The sequence below is a fragment of the Homo sapiens genome, chromosome 1 (genome assembly GCF_000001405.40).
Source record: "Homo sapiens chromosome 1, GRCh38.p14 Primary Assembly".
Classification (NCBI taxonomy): domain Eukaryota; kingdom Metazoa; phylum Chordata; class Mammalia; order Primates; family Hominidae; genus Homo; species Homo sapiens.
Window position 1 is genome coordinate 15,609,640 of NC_000001.11, and position 17,480 is coordinate 15,627,119.

At 44.8% G+C, this 17,480-nt stretch overlaps 1 protein-coding gene and 1 pseudogene across 1 annotated transcript in view, besides 1 other annotated feature; one reads left to right on the forward strand and one right to left on the reverse strand.

Moving 5' to 3' along the window:
- On the reverse strand, positions 343-5,307 carry CD24P1 (CD24 molecule pseudogene 1; annotated as a pseudogene).
- Positions 7,573-8,142: a silencer, noted in NCBI's record as "silent region_309". NCBI's record gives its function as "represses an Ori minimal core promoter by ATAC-STARR-seq in GM12878 lymphoblastoid cells {active_cell/tissue: GM12878}" and the evidence as "EXISTENCE:reporter gene assay evidence [ECO:0000049][PMID:35858748]".
- Positions 7,819-17,480, forward strand: part of DDI2 (DDI proteasomal shuttling factor 2) — a 51,587-nt gene continuing 41,925 nt past the window's right edge. Inside the window, exons 1-2 of the mRNA NM_032341.5 lie at positions 7,819-8,169; positions 17,030-17,159. Of these exons, the coding sequence (NP_115717.3) occupies positions 8,032-8,169; positions 17,030-17,159 (268 nt within the window). The 5' untranslated portion in view covers positions 7,819-8,031. The remainder of the gene's footprint in view (positions 8,170-17,029; positions 17,160-17,480) is intronic.

Here is a 17,480-nt window from a genome sequence, read left to right on the forward strand (position 1 = left end):
TTTTATTTTATTATGCTTATAGTTTCTGTAGGTCAGAAATTCAAAGGCAATACAGTGGAGACGGCTCCATAATGTCTGAAGCCTCATCTGGAAAGACTCATAAGTTGGAGATGATTCAACATCTGGGGGTTGAAGTCATCTGAAAGTGTCTTCACTTCTGTGCTTGGTGAGTTTTCCCGCTAATCAGCTTTCCCCTCAGCTGAGCAGCTTTCTGGAACAACCACACGTATTTTCTCCATGCGGTCTCACCGTGTGGTGTAGTTTGGGCTTCCTCACAGCATGGCTGCTGGGTTCCAAGAGCAAGCGTTCCAAGAGAATCACGGAGAAGCTGTACTGACTTTTTTTCAGCCATTGATTTATTTTTATTTGCAGTTTGTATTCAATACAAATCAATTTCATAACAAGTTACTATGAATCAAAGCATACACACACAAATATACAATCCAAAATAGATGTACAGCATTTCGGCATGGAGCAAAAGGGAGTGTTCATTCACACACACAGTGGAGTGGGTTCAGATCTGTTCCATCTGCTGTTCCCGTGTAGGTTTCTAAAGATGGAAAAAAAAAGACTACTGTGGCCATATTAGATGCTGGAACACATAAGCATCAGTGTGTGACCTTGTGAACAAAGGACTTCAGGGAGTGTCTATTTTTAAAAAGGTTTCTGTGTGTCAAGACAGTTGTAAACATTTTTATTACAGAATCAAGCTTACTTTGCGGTTTAGGACCAGGTTCTAACTATCTAAAAATATTGACATAACAAAATGTGTTTCAAACAGGGCATGATGGCTCATGTCTGTAATCCCAGCACGTTAGGAGATGAGGTAAGAGGATTGCTTGAGCCTAGGAGTTCAAGAACAGCTTGGGAACATAGAAAGACTCCTATTTCTACAAAAAGATAAAAATTCGCTGGGAATGGTGGCACACGCATGTAGTGCTAGCTACTTGGGAGGCTGAGGCAGGAGGATTGCTTTAGTCCACGAGGTTGAGGCCGCAGTGAACTCTAGCCTGGGTAACAGGGTGAGACCATGTCTCTTAAAAAAAAAGGCCCCAGCTGGGTGCGGTGGCTCACGCCTGTAATCCCAGCACTTTGGGAGGCTGAGGTGGGCAGATCACGAGGTCAGGAGTTCAAGACCATCCTGGCCAACATGGTGAAATGCCGTCTCTACAAAAAATACAAAAATTAGCGAGGTGTGGTGTTGTGCACCTGTAATCCTAGCTACTCGGGAGGCTGAGGCAGGAGAATCACTTGAACCTGGGAGGCGGAGGTTGCAGTGAGCCAAGATCGCTCCATTGCACTCCAGCCTGGGCGACAGAGTAAGACTCTGTCTCAAAAAAAAAAAAGCCCCAAAATGTGTTTTAAATGCAGCTATTCTGATCCATAGTTGTTGTTTGCAAAAAGCATTTACAGAAAAAGAGTATAGCCTGGGCACGGTGGCTCAGGCCTGTAATCCCAGCACTTTGGGAGGCTGAGGCGGGCAGATCACCTGAGGTCAGGAGTTTAAGACCAGCCTGACCAACATGGAGAAACTCCATCTCTACTAAAAATACAAAATTAGCCGAGCGTGGTGGTGCGTGCCTGTAATCCCAGCTACTCAGGAGGCTGAGGCAGGAGAATCGCTTGAACCTGGGAGGCGGAGGTTGCGGTGAGCCAAGATCATGCCATTGCACTCCAGCCTGGGCAACAAGAGTGAAACTCCATCTCAAAAAAAAAAAAAAGAAAGAAAGAAAAAGAAAAGAGTATAAAAGTTTTTGTGACTTTAATGCAAGTTAACTTTCAGTCTTTACTTTCCAAATACTTGATATACAGTTTTTGGCTCCTTTACATTTTTGCCCTTTTAATTTCAAGGTTTATAATTTTACCTTCAAAACAGATCTTTTTTTGTTTTTTGAGATGGAGTCTCACTGTGTCTCCCAGGCTGGACAGCAGTAGCATGATCTTGGCTCACTGCAACCTCTGGCTCTAAGGTTCAAGCAATTCTCCTATCTCAGCCTCTGAGTAGCTGGGATTACAGGCACACCACCATGCCCAGCTAATTTTTGTATTTTTAGTAGAGACAGGGTTTAATCTTGTTGGTCAGGCTGGTCTCGAACTCCTGACCTCAAGTGATCCACCTGCCTCAGCCTCCCAAAGTGCTGGGATTACAGGGGTGAGCCACCGCACCCAGCCCCTTAATGAATCTGGTGTCCTTGTTGAACGAAAATAGGTGAAATGAAATGCCTACCATTTGACTCTCTAAGGATAAACAAGAGTTATTGATGATGCTTGGACTTGGGGGTAGATTGCAGTCTATCATTGCCCTGGCACATGTCAATTACTAAATAAAAGGTCAAATGCAATGTCAAATCCAAATCCTCAGAGGAAAAAGAATTCAGTTACCAAAAGAACAGTGATAGCCTAACAATGTAAAACTTAATATATTGGCATTAAATTAGTACTGCTGAAATAATACATTGAGGATTTATAGAATGATGGAAGCTTTTTTTTTTTTTTTTGAGACGGAGTCTCACTCTGTCTTCCAGGCTGGAGTGCAGTGGTGCGGTCTCAGCTCACTGCAGCCTCCACCCTCCGAGTTCACACGATTCTCCTGCCTCAGCCTCCCGAGTAGCTGTAATTACAGACACTTGCCACCGTGCCCAGCTAATTTTTTGTATTTTTAGTAGAGATGGGGTTTCACCATCTTGGCCAGGCTGGTCTTGAACTCCTGACCTTGTGATCCACCCGCCTTGGTCTCCCAAAGTGCTGGGATTACAGGTGTGAGCCACTGCACCCAGCCGATGGAAGCTTTTTTAAACTTTAAGACAGGATCTTGCTCTGTCACCCAGGCTGGAGTGCCATGATAATGGCTTACTGCAGCCTTGACCTCCAGGGCTGAAGTGATCATCCTACCTCAGTCTCTTGGGTAGCTGTGACCACAAGTGTGTGACACCATGCCCACCTCTTTTTTTAAATTTGTGGGCCAGACACGGTGGCTCACACCTGTAATCCCAGCACTTTGGGAGGACGAGAGAGCTGGATCGCCTGAGGTCAGGAGTTTGAGACCAGCCTGGCCAACATGGTGAAACCCCATCTCTACTAAAAATACAAATATTAGCTGGGCATGGTGGCATGCTCCTGTAGTCCCAGCTACTCAGGAGGCTAAAGAAGGAGAATGGCTTGAACCCGGGAGGTGGAGATTGCAGTGAGCTGGGATCGTGCCATGGCACTCCAGCCTGGGGGACAAGAGTGAAACGCTGCCTCAAAAAAAAAAAAGGAGATTATGGCCAGGTGCAGTGGCTCATGCCCGTAATCCCAGCACTTTGGGGGGCCCAGTGGGTAGATCACCTGAGGTCAGGAGTTTGCGACCCGCCTGGCCTACATGGTGAAACCCTGTCTCCACTAAAAATACAAAAATTAGCCAGGTATGGTGGTGGGTGCCTGTAATCCCAGCTACTCAGGAGGCTGAGGCACAAGAATCACTTGAACCTGCGAGGCAGAGGTTGCAGTGAGCTGAGATCGCACCACTGCACTCCAGCCTGGATGGCAGAGCGAGACTGTGTCTCAGAAAGGAAAAACAAAAAATAAAAATTAGCGGGGCATGGTGGTGCAGGCCTGTAATCCCAGCAACTTGGGAGGCTCAGGCAGGAGAATCACGAGCCAGGGAAGTGGAGGTTGCAGTGAGCTGAGCTCGCACCACTGCACTCCAGCCTGGGCAACAGAACAAGACTCCATCTCAATAAATAAATAAATTAATTAAATTAAAATAAATTTTTTTTTGTAGAGATGGGGTCTCACCCTGTTGCCCAGGGTGATTTCAAACTCCTGGGCTCAATCGATCCTCCTGCTGTGGCCTCCCAAAGTGCTAGGATTACAGGTATGAGCCACCCCCACCCCTGCCAATGGAAATCTTTTATTTTACTGGTTTTACTGCCGTATAGACTTAATGAACCAAATGAAAACTGAATCTCCACTCCATATTACATCTTTATTTCTAAACAAGATAAAATCTATTATTTATTATTATTTTTTTTTTATTACCCAAGTTTTGTCTCAGGATCTACTATTCTTATTTTCAAGGTAGTTTTAACTGTCCACATTTCTTAAGCCACATTCAAGAAATAATGTCTTCAATTTTGGATGTTGCCTCTCTTCATCTTGTACATGACATTTAAGCAGATTTAATATTGGCATCCATCATCTAGTCAAACCCTTCACGTGTTCTTCAAAGCAATTAAATTTGGGGTTCTCAACCTTTTCTTTCTTTCTTTCCTTTTTTTTTTTTTTTGAGATGGAGTCTCACTCTGTCGCCCAGGCTGGAGTGCAATGGCGCGATCTCGGCTCACTGCACCCTCTGCCTCCCATGTTCAAGCCATTCTCCTGCCTCAGCCTCCTGAGTAGCTGGGATTACAGGCACACACCACCACGTCTGGCTAATTTTTATATTTTTAGTAGAGACGGGGTTTCACCATGTTGGTCAGGCTGGTCTTGAACTCCTGACCTTGTGATCCACCTGCCACCTGCCTCGGCCTCCCAAAGTGCTGGGATTACAGATGTGAGCTACCGCGCCTGGCCTTTTTTTTTTTTTTTTTTTTTTTTGAGACAGAGTTTTGCTCTTGTTGCCCAGGCTGGAGTGCAATGGCGCAATCTCGGCTCACTGCAACCTCTGCCTCCCAGGTTCAACCAATTCTCCTGCCTCAGCCTCCCAAGTAGCTGGGATTACAGGCATCCACCACCATATCTGGGTAATTTTTCTGTACTTTTAGTAGAGACGGGGTTTCACCATGTTGGCCAGGCTGGTCTCAAACTCCTGACCTCAGGTGATCCACCTGCCTCGACCTCTCAATGTGTTGGGATTACAGGCATGAGCCACCACACCTGGCCAGGTTCTCAACCTTTTCTGTATCAGTAAAAGAAGGTGTGAAATTAATAGATTTGATGAAGACCCGCTTTTTTTCTTGCCACATTGGACTCCTAGATGCCATTTGGAATGGGTTTAGAAGACACGGAAGTATAGATGTTTCTTAACAGTAGAAATATAGAAGAGAAAGCAAGACCATGAGGAGACTGGCAGTTGACTGCAGGGCACAGCCAACTGCCTTGGTGGTGGCATTAGCTGGGTTTGGGGCAGACAAGGTACCCTGGGAGGAGTTACTTGAAAACGTTACAATAGTTTGATTTGAATAAATCTGCATAAGTAGGAGCAGTGCCAGAAGCAGCAGCCCCAGCCTGAGCCTGTCCACCATTGCTTTGTCCCCTCCATTGGTGTCTGGCATATATTGCTGGATGCTGGGTGAGAACTGCTGGCTCCAGGTGGACACAGGCGAGACCTAGCCTTAAAAATCACACAAAGTGGCTGGGTGCGATGGCTCACATCTGTAATCCCAGTACTTCGTGAGGCCAAGGTGGGAGGATCACTTGAGGCCAGGATTTGGAGATTAGCCTGGTCAACATAGCAAGGACTCATCCCTATTTTTTTTAACTAAAAATAATGTAAAATCATAATAAAAAGGAAATCAAGCCTGGGCAACATAGCAAGATCTCATCTCTACTAAAAAGAAATTAGCTGCGTGTGGTGGTGCACACCTGTAGTTCCAGCTGCTGGGGAGGTTGAGCTGGAGGGATCACTTGAGCCCTGGAGGTTGAGGCTGCAGTGAGCCATGATCGTGCCACTGCACTCCAGCCTGGGTGACAGAGCCAGACCCTGTCTTGATAAAAAAAAAAAAAAAAAAGGAAATCACATAATGTCACTTATGCCAGAGTTAGTCTGCCGAGCCATGATTCAAAGGGAGGGACATTCACCCCACTTCTTAATGGGAGGGTTATCCAATCATGTTGTAGGAAGAGCATAGACGATGGGAGGCACTGTCATGGTCATCTTTGGAGAACAAAATCTGCCAGACCTGGGAACCTGAGCACCACTAGACCAAATATAACAATTAATCAATGATTCAAGCCTCAACTGATTCCTTGATACCACCACTGGGCAATCCTAGAACATTTCTCAGCTAAACTTGCTTCAATTTGCAATGGTTATTTCAAACATTCACTGTAGAAGGCACTGTGTACATCTTTCCTAATACCCATTCCCAGCCCCCCTTTTCCCTATTTATGTCCTTTAGGCAAAGCTAAATACTTGCGTTCCTAGCCTCTCTTGCATCTATGTGACACAATTCTGTCCAGTGAGATGTAAGCAAAAATGTGCACAGGGACTTCTGGGCAAGCTTTTTCCTTGAATAGGAAAATGATGCGTGCAGTGGAGGCAGCCAGCCATATATTGCAACCCTCAGGAAAAGGTCAAGACAATTACAAAAGTATTGGCCCTGATTTCAGTGAGCCACTCAACCAGTGCTGTTGCTACCTCCAGGCCTTCTCTCCTGTGAGAAAACAAACCCTTGTTTGTTTAAGCCACTGATAGTCAAGCTTTCTGTTGCTCCTAGGGGATATAAGCATTCTCACTCCCCTGTGCCTCTACTTTCTCTTTTTTTTTTTTTTTTTTGAGACAGAGTCTCGCTCTGTCTCCCAGGCTAGAGTGCAGTGACCTGATCTCGGCTCACTACAACCTCCGCCTCCCGCGTTCAAGTGACCCTCCTGCCTCAGCCTCCCGAGTAGCTGGGACTATAGGTGTCCGCCACCATGCCCGGCTAATTTTTGTATTTTTAGTAGAGACGGGGTTTCACCATATTGGCCAAGCTGGTCTCGAACTCCTGACCTTGTGATCCGCCCGCCTTGGCCTCCCAAAGTGCTGGGATTACAGGCGTGAGCCACCGCGCCCAGCTCCTCTAATTTCTCTTTGTAAAAGCCTTCAGCTGCTAATTCTCCCTTTCCTGCCACCAACAGCCTACTTACTACCTACTTACCTGCACCCACAGCCATCTTATTTGCTCCTTCTCTCCTGTTAAAATGGAAAAGGGCTCCCTACCATGGAGGGGGAGTGGGAGTAAATGGAAAGATGCTAATCTGGCATCCATTACAAGTTCATCTTTCAGTTTTGGTTTTCTTACTCATCCGCACCTTAGTTCTGGGCCTCTACCACTCATCAGCTGTGTGCCTTAAAAACAGGCCATTAAAGTAGCAAATATTTATTGAGTAGATTCTAAGCTGTGCCCAAAAAGGCACTGCGCTAGGTGGTAGGAGTTGCTAGGGCTAGGAAACAGACACAGTCCAAGTAGAGAGAAAATTATTTACAAGACAGGGGAATGGAGCCTTGGAGGAACTGACCTATGTGGCTGGGAGGGCAGAGAATGTGGGAAGAGCTCGGAAGAAGGGGCTGGGGAGGTAGGCGTGGGCCACAGCCAACTGGCTTCTGTAGACTAGGGAGGGTAATGATTTTGGTTTCAATCCTAAATCACTAAGACAGGAAGTGAATTACTCTGTCGGAGCCTCAATTTCTACCTCGAAAAATATGTTTTATTACTAACTCCTGTACTAGATTGAGAGTTACGGAGAAGGATTTATCCTTTTATTCATTTCTGCATCGCCAGCGCCCGACACATGGTAGGCGCTTAATCAATGCCTGTTCGGTGAATAAATAAGACCGGGGACTCCTCCACAGACTTCTGTCATTAAGTCAACCAGTCAGCAGAGATTTCCTTCTCCGCGTTCCTTTCCTTCCCTCCCCTTTTCTTGCCCTTCCTCCCTCTCCTCTTCCACGCCCCCTTCCCACTCCTCCCCCTCCTATCCTCTCCTGGCTTCCTCCTCCTCTTCCCGGCCCCGCCCCCCGCTGCGTTGCGAAGGCGGGGAAGGCGAGGCGGGCTTTACGGCAGCCGCGTTGCGGCGGGGCGGGGCGCCGGGCGGCCGGCGCGCTTGGCGGCAGCCGTGGGAGGCAGGCCGGCAGGCAGACGGACTCGCAGGCGTGTGGCGGCGGCCGTGCTTGCTAGTGAGGGCGGGAGGGAGTGACTCACTGAGCGTGTGTGAGGGAGGGAGCGAGCGAGCGAACGAGCAGCCGGCGCCGTCCTCCCGCAGCACCAGCCAGGCCACGCCGCCGCCTCTTCCCCTGCGCCCCGCGCCCAGGCCGGGCCGAGCCGAGCCGAGCCGGGTCGGGCCCGGGCCATGCTGCTCACCGTGTACTGTGTGCGGAGGGACCTCTCCGAGGTGACCTTTTCCCTCCAGGTCGACGCCGACTTCGAGCTGCACAACTTCCGCGCGCTGTGCGAGCTCGAGTCTGGCATCCCCGCAGCCGAGAGCCAGGTACGCCGGGCAGCGAGCCGGGCCTGCCCCGGAGCTAAGCCCTCCCCGCCTCGGGGCCTCACTCCCTCCCTTTGCTACTGGTGAAGAATTGGGGGCTGGGGGGAGCAAGGATAGCCATTCTCAGGTCACCCCCGCATCCGGAAAGGAGCTGGGGAGCTGGCATCAGTAGCTGCCCTCACACACTCCGAGCATGGGGTGGGGTACGAGGAGAGGGAGCGGAGAACCTGACCGCAGACGCACCCACTGCAGCGTGAGGGGCGCGTGGACTGTTGAGCAGCGCTAACCCTCCCCACCTTTGGCTCTTTGGCCCTTCCCTGTTTCTAATCCCGAGTGTAGGATATCGTTGTGGACCTCAGAAGCAGCCCTGGGTTTGCTAGGATTCATACATCCTGCAAACCAGAAATACCAGTTTGGATCACTGTGGTAGATAGATGTTCCTCTGCTTTTTTTTTTTTTTTTTTCTGGAGAGGGTTTCTGCTTAAATATACGCAGTTTACCTTTAAATGCACAGATTTGCACTTCCGGTGAAAGAAAAAGTTTAAGACTTGCACTACCTCATTTTGGGGTCTTTGGAAATGCTCTTTACCCACCACATGCGTTTCTGGTTAAATTCTTTTGAAAAACAGTACCTATTGGTTCAACTCAAGCTGTTTGTTTGTTTCGGTTCTACCCTGGTAGTAAGCCAGAAGGCCCTTTTTCTTTCAGGTCACAGTTCAGAGTTTGGGTCAGTTCAAAGCTCAATGCTTTAAAAGGATATTTGCTTGGAAACGGCCTAGTATCAGTGCTGTTTGGTGGTTTCATTTCCCTACTCAGCTTGCTGGAAAGAAGTTCAGCCTCTCATATTTTAACTAAGCAAAGTAATTCTCAAAATGCTTTGGGGCTGCCCCTAGTCTTTATCAAACAGAATCGGTGACACTAACGCTGTAAACTTTACACTAAAACACTTAGATCATGACTTAATAAATTTAGCCTGGAGGAAATAGTCTAAACATTAAGAAAATTATAGAGGTCTCCCAAGTCTCCATCAAGTAAATCTTGATTTTCTACTGCAGTTATGAAATAGTTTACAAAACGATTGCCCAACTGCAGCTTGTTCTGCTGTCTTATGGTAAACACGTGTCAATACTTTGTTCAGAAGTATGATTCCTTTACACAATGTGAACTTTAGAACCTTGGCATAAAGCTGTTCAGAAAGAATTTAAAAAGTTAATCCACAAAAGCTCAGGAACCAGTTCTGTCAGTGAATGCCTCATGTGGAGAACTAGGAAAGGACTGTTTAAATAGAGAAAATAAACTCTTCAATTTTTTTTCTTTTTTTGTTTTTGTTTTTGAGACGGAGTCTTGCTCTGTCGCCCATGCTGGAGTGCAGTGGTGCGTTCTCGACTCACTGCAACCCCAGTCTCCCGGGTTCAAGCGATTCTCCTGCCTCAGCCTCCTGAGTAACTGGGACTACGGGCGCGCGCCACCACGCCTGGCTAATTTTTGTAATTTTTTTTTAGTAGAGACGGGGTTTCACCATGTTGACCAGGCTGATTTCAAACTCCTGACCTCTAGTGATCTGCCCGCCTCGGCCTCCCAAAATGCTGCGATTACAGGTGTGAGCCACCGTTCCCGGACAACTCTTCAATTTTTGATAGTGGCTTTTTCTTTTCTTTTCTTTTCTTTTTTTTTTTTCGAGACGGAGTCTCTGTCGCCTAGGCTGGAGTGCAGTGGCGCGATCTCGGCTTACTGCAAGCTCCACCTCCCGGGTTCGTGCCATTCTCCTGCCTCAGCCTCCCGAGTAGCTGGGACTACAGGCGCCCACCACCGCGCCCGACTCATTTTTTGTATTTTTAGTAGAGAAGGGGTTTCACCATGTTAGCCAGGATGGTCTCGATCTCCTGACCTCGTGGTCTGCCCGCCTCGGCCTTCCAAAGTGCTGTGAGCCACCGCACCCGGCCCGATAGTGGCTTTTTCAATTGTTTTTTCCTCTAGCTGTTATATTACCCTGGTTATGATCACCGGCTGGTAGGGAAAATAAGAAATTAAAATGTAAATTGATTTTGTTGTTAGGGCTTGGGAAAAGACAGAGGTTGAGGTTGTTTCCATTCCTGCACTTTTTGTGATGGCTGAAACAAGAAATTTAAGTCAAAGGGATACCTGACACCCCCTTTAATTGACTTAAATTTCTTGTTACAGCCATCATAAAAGACGATTTATTGTGTGGTCAGCCAGACATTGCCCTCTGCCAGTTGGTAAAGTTAGGAATACCTTAGTAATTGAACATAGGCTAACTCCAAATTATTTCTTGTTCATTATGTCAATGTTTCGGCATTTACTTCCTTCCCAAGCCAAATTAGCATATAGAAACTTGGGCTCCAACTGGTGTTAAGCCTGTATTAGATAGCCATAAACAGCTCCTGTTTTTCCAGTCTGTTCTGTTGGCTCCATTGTAACCTGACAACACAGTATCTATTTTAAGGTGTCTGGTGGTCGGTTGTCTTTCACTTGCTTGCTTGCCCATCAGGCAGGAACAGGATCCACCCTAGACACTTGAGTCATTTCCTTTCATCAAATCATAATAGTAAACATCACTATAGTTTTTACCCATAAATATATCATGTTTACTTACTTGAGTGTCCCCCCCCATTACCTCCCAGGGTTCTCTCATATTACTCATCTTCCCTTCCTTTCCTAGACTGTTTAACTCCTCCTCTTGTTTACATTCTCCATTCCCATTCCTTCACCTCTCATTTCTGATTCCATTTCTTCAAGGAAATATATATATTTTTATGTTCTGGCTATTTTTTCCTGCCACTATGTGTCCACACCACTGGTGTCCAAACTTTCATTCATGTATCCCTATCAGTAAAATGTTTCAGATTATGCTTCTGTTATGTATATAATACATTATATACATGAACTGATACGTTGTATACATTATATATGGCCACATGTGCATATAATACACATAACGTGCATTATATGCATATATAATATGTTATCTGTAAAGTAACATTGTACACACACAAAATGGAGCTTAAGGAAGGACGAACTAAAATAAATGGAAATGAAAATTCTAATATTTTCAGTTTCTTCCTCCACCGTTAAAGAATTGTCTTGCATGGCTGCCCTACATTGGTGATCAATGGTTTAGAATTCAGTCTTTCACCTGAGTGTCAATTGCACATAAGCATATAGTTGGAAAAGGTGTTAATTTTTAACAGCTCTAGTCTGATGATAGTAGTTACAATGCAGTGATAACAAATTTAGAACAAGCCATCTCTGCTTGTACATGTGATTAAAGCTGGGCATGTTCTGTCTCTTAATAGAAGTGTGGGCTTGGAAGCCAGTCATGGCTCTGTTTGATGCTTTGATGCAGACTTGCCTGGGTGAACTTCAAACAGTTATCAGAACTTAGCTTCACTTTAAATTAATGTCTTCATATTTTTGAGACATGATAATTTACCTCTGTAGGTGGCATATGGAAAAAGTAGGCACAACATACAAGGACCCTCAAATGAAAGGCAAATAATAGCAGTAATTGTATGATCTTGGAAATGCACACAGCATGATTTGTGGTTTGTAAACCACTATTTTATCTTCTGTGTGTTTGTTTTTTTGAGACAGGGTCTTGCTCTGTCACCTAGGCAGTAGTGCGCTCACAGGTCACTGTAGCCTCAACCTCCTGGGCTCAAGTGATCCTTCCACCTCAGCCTCCTAAGTAGCTGGGACTACAGGTGTATGCTACGACATATGACTAATTTTTTTGTTTTCTTTGGAGATGGGGGTTTCACTGTGTTGGCCACGCTGGTCTCAAACTCCTGACCTCGGATGATCTGCCTGCCTTGGCCTCCCAGAGTGCTGGGATTACAGGCGTGAGCCACCGCATCCGGCCCCAAATTGATAATTTTAAAGGCTACATAATATACCATCATATAGATGTGTTGTAATTTAGCAATTTCCCTTTTGTTGAGCATAATATTGGGGAAAATTGGAAGCAGTTGTAAGTAACATGCCATGAACATCCATATACTTAAGACTGTAGCCTCCATTTCTGTTTTCTCAGGATGAATTCTTAGATATGCAGTTGCCAGATCAAAAGCATAAAGTCTTTGAAAGGTTTTTAGTAAATTTAGATTATACAAGTCAAATTGGCTATTACATGGGGTAGTATATGTAGATAACTTGGTAGATATTGGGTATTTGATTAATGGTAATACTATTATGAAGCCATTCAGATGTAATTCCAAATGTTTTGTGGCCGGTTTATGGTCCTTATTTTATCTTTATTCTTTATATTTTAGAGATGGGATCTCGCTCTCGCCCAGGCTGGAATGCAGTGTTGCAATCACAGCTCACTGTATCCTCAACATGTTGGGGTCAAGGGATCCTCCCAAGTAGCTGCGACTTTTTTTTTTTTTTTTTGAGACGAGGTCTTGCCAGTGCTAGGCTTGAACTCCTAACCTCAAGCAGTTCTCCTGCCTCTGCCTCCCAGAGTGTTGGGATTACATGTGTGAGCCACTGCACCTGGCCTACTAGTTTATGTTCTGTAATGCTAGAAATTTATTGTTAAGCTTTTTGTTAATAGAAGGCTCTCATTCAGAGACCAGAAAACACCTGACCTCATGCTTAAAAGTTCTGAAGTTTTATTAATTAGTCTATTGTTAAATGTTGATTAAGATTATAATTCAGTCTCTGGGGTGCCTCCTCTGGAGTAAGTACCAGCAGTTGTGCCAGTTTTGCTGATTAAGACTCATAGCTGTATACATTTTCTTGTTGTATGTTCTTATAACTGGCAAAACTTGAATTTTGGGCTTTGTAGCTGTTGAGTTGGGTAACATGAATGGTGGAAGGATCAAGAATGCCGGCAGCGGATCCCCTTTTGTTTTTATTGGTAGAGATTTGAAGCCATGTCTAATAGATACTGAATGTTTGGTTGGAAGATCACATGGATTTATTTTGGGACTTTTGCTGCAAAATAATTGTCTTTCTTGGACTCTTAAGCCTATTTAAACAAAAAGAAATCAGTTCTTTGTGGCAATTACAATTTTAGCTAAGCTTTAGTTGATCTCATTTATGTCCTTAGATTAAAATGGAGCACAGCTGCTGCTTCGTCAGTGTGAGGAACGTGTGCGCCTCACCCAGGTTCTTCAGTCTAGTGTTTCCAGGAAATTGGCGCTGAAGCAACATTTCATATTTCATAGACATGCTCAATGTGGTGGTTATCTAGATTTTACATTTTTATTGTTAGATCATGCTGCCTTCCTTTAAAAAATGCTATTGTCTGCTGAGGAAATATTGTGGCAACTAAGCAGTGATGGAGTGAAGTATGGCATCTGTGAAGTGGGAGTCAGAGCGGGCAGTTGGTGGTGTTTCTTCATGTCCAGGGCATGGGGATGCGTTGAGCAGTGGACAGTATTTTGATCCTCTTAGTGGATAGAGTCTCTTAGTGGCAATGGATGGCTTAGTAGTACTTGTTAAAATCACCCAGCTAATTCACCAGGCCACTTTAGGGTTATGTTCGGGAAAGCTGTATATGATACTCCTGGAGTAATGGGCTTTGAAATTAGACAGTTCCAATTGCAGTTTTCTTCTTCTTTTTTTTTTTTTTTTTTTTTTAAGAGACAAGATCTTATTCTGTTGCCCAGGCTGGAGTGCAGTGGTACAATCATAACTCACTGCAACCTCGAACTCCTGGGCTCAGGTGATCCTCCAGCTTCAGTCTCCCAAATAGTTGAGACTACAGGCATATGCTACCATGCCTGGCTTATTATTATTATTATTATTATTATTTTAGAGATGGGGTCTTGCTGTATTGCCCAGGCTGGCTTTGCATTCCTGGCCTCAAATGATCTTCCTACCTCATCCTCCCAAAGTTTTGGAATTAAGGCGTGAGCCATGGCACCCAGCCTGCATAGGATCATTTTGATTCTCCTGAGTTTGCTTCCTCCTTGTAAATAAATAAATTTTCTCTTATAAATAGTTAGTGGCCGGGCGCAGTGACTCACGTCTGTAATCCCAGCACTTTAGGAGGCCAAGGCGGGCAGATCACAAGGTTAGGAGATCGAGACCATCCTGGCTAACATGGTGAAACCCCGTCTCTACAAAAAATACAAAAAAAAAATTAGCCGCTTGTGGGGGCAGGTGCCTGTAGTCCCAGCTACTCAGGAGGCTGAAGCAGGAGAACCTGGGAGGCGGAGCTTACAGTGAGCCGAGATCCCGCCACTGCACCCCAGCCTGGGCGAGAGCGAGACTCCGTCTCAAAATAAATAAATAAATAAATACCGTTAAAATGTGCCTCTGCTCCCAGGAGACTGTTCATGTATCTCTAAATATACTGATAGTTGAATTTCTGAAACTGGAAAATTAAAGAGTAGGTTGTTGACAGTGGCTTCACAGTGTTGATGCTATGCTGTAAGAGCCTGCCTACCTGCCATTTCTCTTGACATACCTCTTTTTTCTTGTTGCACACCTCAACCTGTGACGCTCATCACTTCTGGTTTATGTGTTTTTTCCAAGCAGTCTCACAAGTTATAATATGACTCTCAGTTGTTTTGCTGAAATTCTGTGTTGATGGTGATGTACTTTTACTGTGAAATTTGTGTTTAAATGAGGGTGTGTGAATGGGATGATGGGAGTGACAGTTGCAGTCTGTTGAAATGTGGTTCTTTTTTTGTTTGTTTTTGTTTTTTAAGAGACAGGGTCTTACTCTGTTGCCCCAGGCTGGAGTGCAGTGGTGCAACCGCAGCTCACTACAGCCTGGACCTCCTGGGCTCAAGCAATCCTCCTGCCTCAGACTCCTAAGTAGCTGAGACTACAGTCACATGCTACCATGGCTGGCTATTTAAAATTTTTTTTTTTTAGATATGCGGTCTCACTATGTTGCCCAGGCTGGTCTCAAACTCCAGGGCTTAACCCATTTGTGCTTAGCCTTCCAATGGAACGCTAAGCTTGTGGGAGTTATATCCTACTACTCAAGGTCATTGCCAAGGTATGATTTTTTCACAAAAGAAAATTTGCAACCTCTGGCCTAAATGGGTTAAGTGATGCTCACACCTCAGCCTCCCCAAGTGCTAGGATTATAGGCATGAGCCATCATACCAGATCTGAAATGTGTTTTAACTCAGCGAGTTGAGCATTAAGGACTTAATAGTATTTTTTTTCAAGTCATGCATAAAACTTGTATAATTGGGCCTACAAATTTGCTCATATTCAGAAGAATTTGATTTTGGTAGGAACTCATTTTCCTGTTCTGTTCCTCATGTCTATAAATTCTGAGAGCAGATATGGCATAATCACTTTTTTTCCAGTTTAAATGCTGTGTTTTCAGTTTTTATTTCAGGTAACCTTACTATGAAAGCTGTAAGGAAACATAGAATGATAATGTTAGCAGAGAGAACTGGAAGGGACAGCTGTAATGATGATCTAGCCCACCTGCTTGCTTGACACATGGGAAGGGTGAGGTCTGGACCTGCTGAGTGTCATGCCCCTCGCAGGGAGTTACTGGCAAGGATAGAACTCATGTTCCTCAGTTCGCATGTGGCCTGGTGAAAAATCATTAGGAGGAAAACCTTTCAAAGCCTGAGTTTGTTCTGAATGCCTTTCTGGAGTATGTAATAATGCAGGGCAGATTTTATGTTTTTTCATGATAAAATTATAGTGTACCTTTGTTCTTTCTATCTGCAACACATTATTTCATCTATTTGTGCTGTCAGGTTTTTTTCAGTTTGATTACACATCATAAAATATTTTTATTAGTAGTACATTCCTAATTCTTTTTTCCACTTGTATTTAGTTGTTATTTTCTTAGTTTCACTTTATTTTCCAGTCTCCCCCCTCCCACCACCCCACCAAGATGGAATCTTGCTTGCCCAGGCTAGGGTGCAGTGGTGCGATCTCAGCCCTGCAACCTTTGCCTCCCGGGTTTAAGCAATTCTCCTGCCACAGCCTCTGGAGTAGCTGGGATTACAGGCACGTGCCACGACACTGGGCTAATTTTTGTATTTTTAGTAGAGACGGAGTTTCACCATGTTGGCCAGGCTGGTCTCGAACCCCTGACCTCGTGATCCACCCGCCTTGGCCTCCCAAAGTGCTGGAATTACAGGCGTGAGCCAGCGTGCCCGGCCCAGAGTGATAAAACTTTGGGGGTGGTAGAAGAGAAGGAAGATTGCAGTGCAGGAAGGATGATATTTGGGACCCTTTTGCCAGTGTTCAAGATTATTTCAAAGTGCACACTTTATTTAATAGTACTGTAGTTAGTTAGCATACCCAGAATAAATCATTCCCTTTTCCTCCCTGCTAAAAATTAAATCTAAAATTATATCCATTTCCATAAATTCATTCATTCTTTAGTTCAACAAATATTTGAGCATCAGTTATATAACAGGCCCTGTTCTAAGCATTTATGATCTCGTGAATGAAACAAAGTCTTTGTCCTCAAGTAGTTTACATTTAATGGGGCAGAAGGACAATAAGTAAATATATATTGTGTTAGTTGAGAGTACATTTTAAATAACATAGTAGGGAAGAACTCTAAAGAGTAATGTTTGATCAGAGACGTAAAAGGAAAAAAATGAGTGGAAAAAGAACATTCCTCAGGTAGAGAAAACAAGAGAAACAGCCCTGAAGGGGAAGTTGATCCCTGTTGTTTGAGGAACAGCAGTCATAGTGAAAGGCGAAGTCAGGAGAGCCAGGGACCACATTGTTTGGTCCTGCTAGGTGACGGGAAGGACTGTGGGTTTTGTTCTGGATGTGGTGGGAATCCACTGGAGGGTTTGAAAGGAGGGTGACATCTGATTCAGGGGAAAACTGGTCCTTCTGCCTTGCGCTGTGTTACTTCTCAGTGCTTTATACTGTTGTATATCTTTTCTTGTTGTAGATCGTCTATGCGGAAAGACCTCTCACAGACAACCACAGATCATTGGCTTCTTATGGCTTGAAAGATGGGGACGTTGTGATTTTACGACAGAAGGAGAATGCAGACCCTCGACCTCCAGTGCAGTTCCCAAGTAAGACATCTGGTGGTTGAGCATCCCCCAGCAGAACCATCAGCAGGTAGCAGAGCATAGCACCTCAGAGTTTTGGATTCGCTTTGGATTCAGACTACAGAATACAGATCCTGACTCTGCCTTTTCCCTGCCGTGTAACCTTGAACAAGTATTTTAATGTCTCTAAATTGGTTTCCTCTTCTATAAGTTAGGTGCCATAATTAACCCCAACTCCTAAAGCTGACGTGAGGCTAATGCATGTAAAATCTTAGCACACAGCAAGCCCTCAATAAATGTTAGCTTCTGTTATCAGTGATAATTATACAATAATCTTTATCCTTG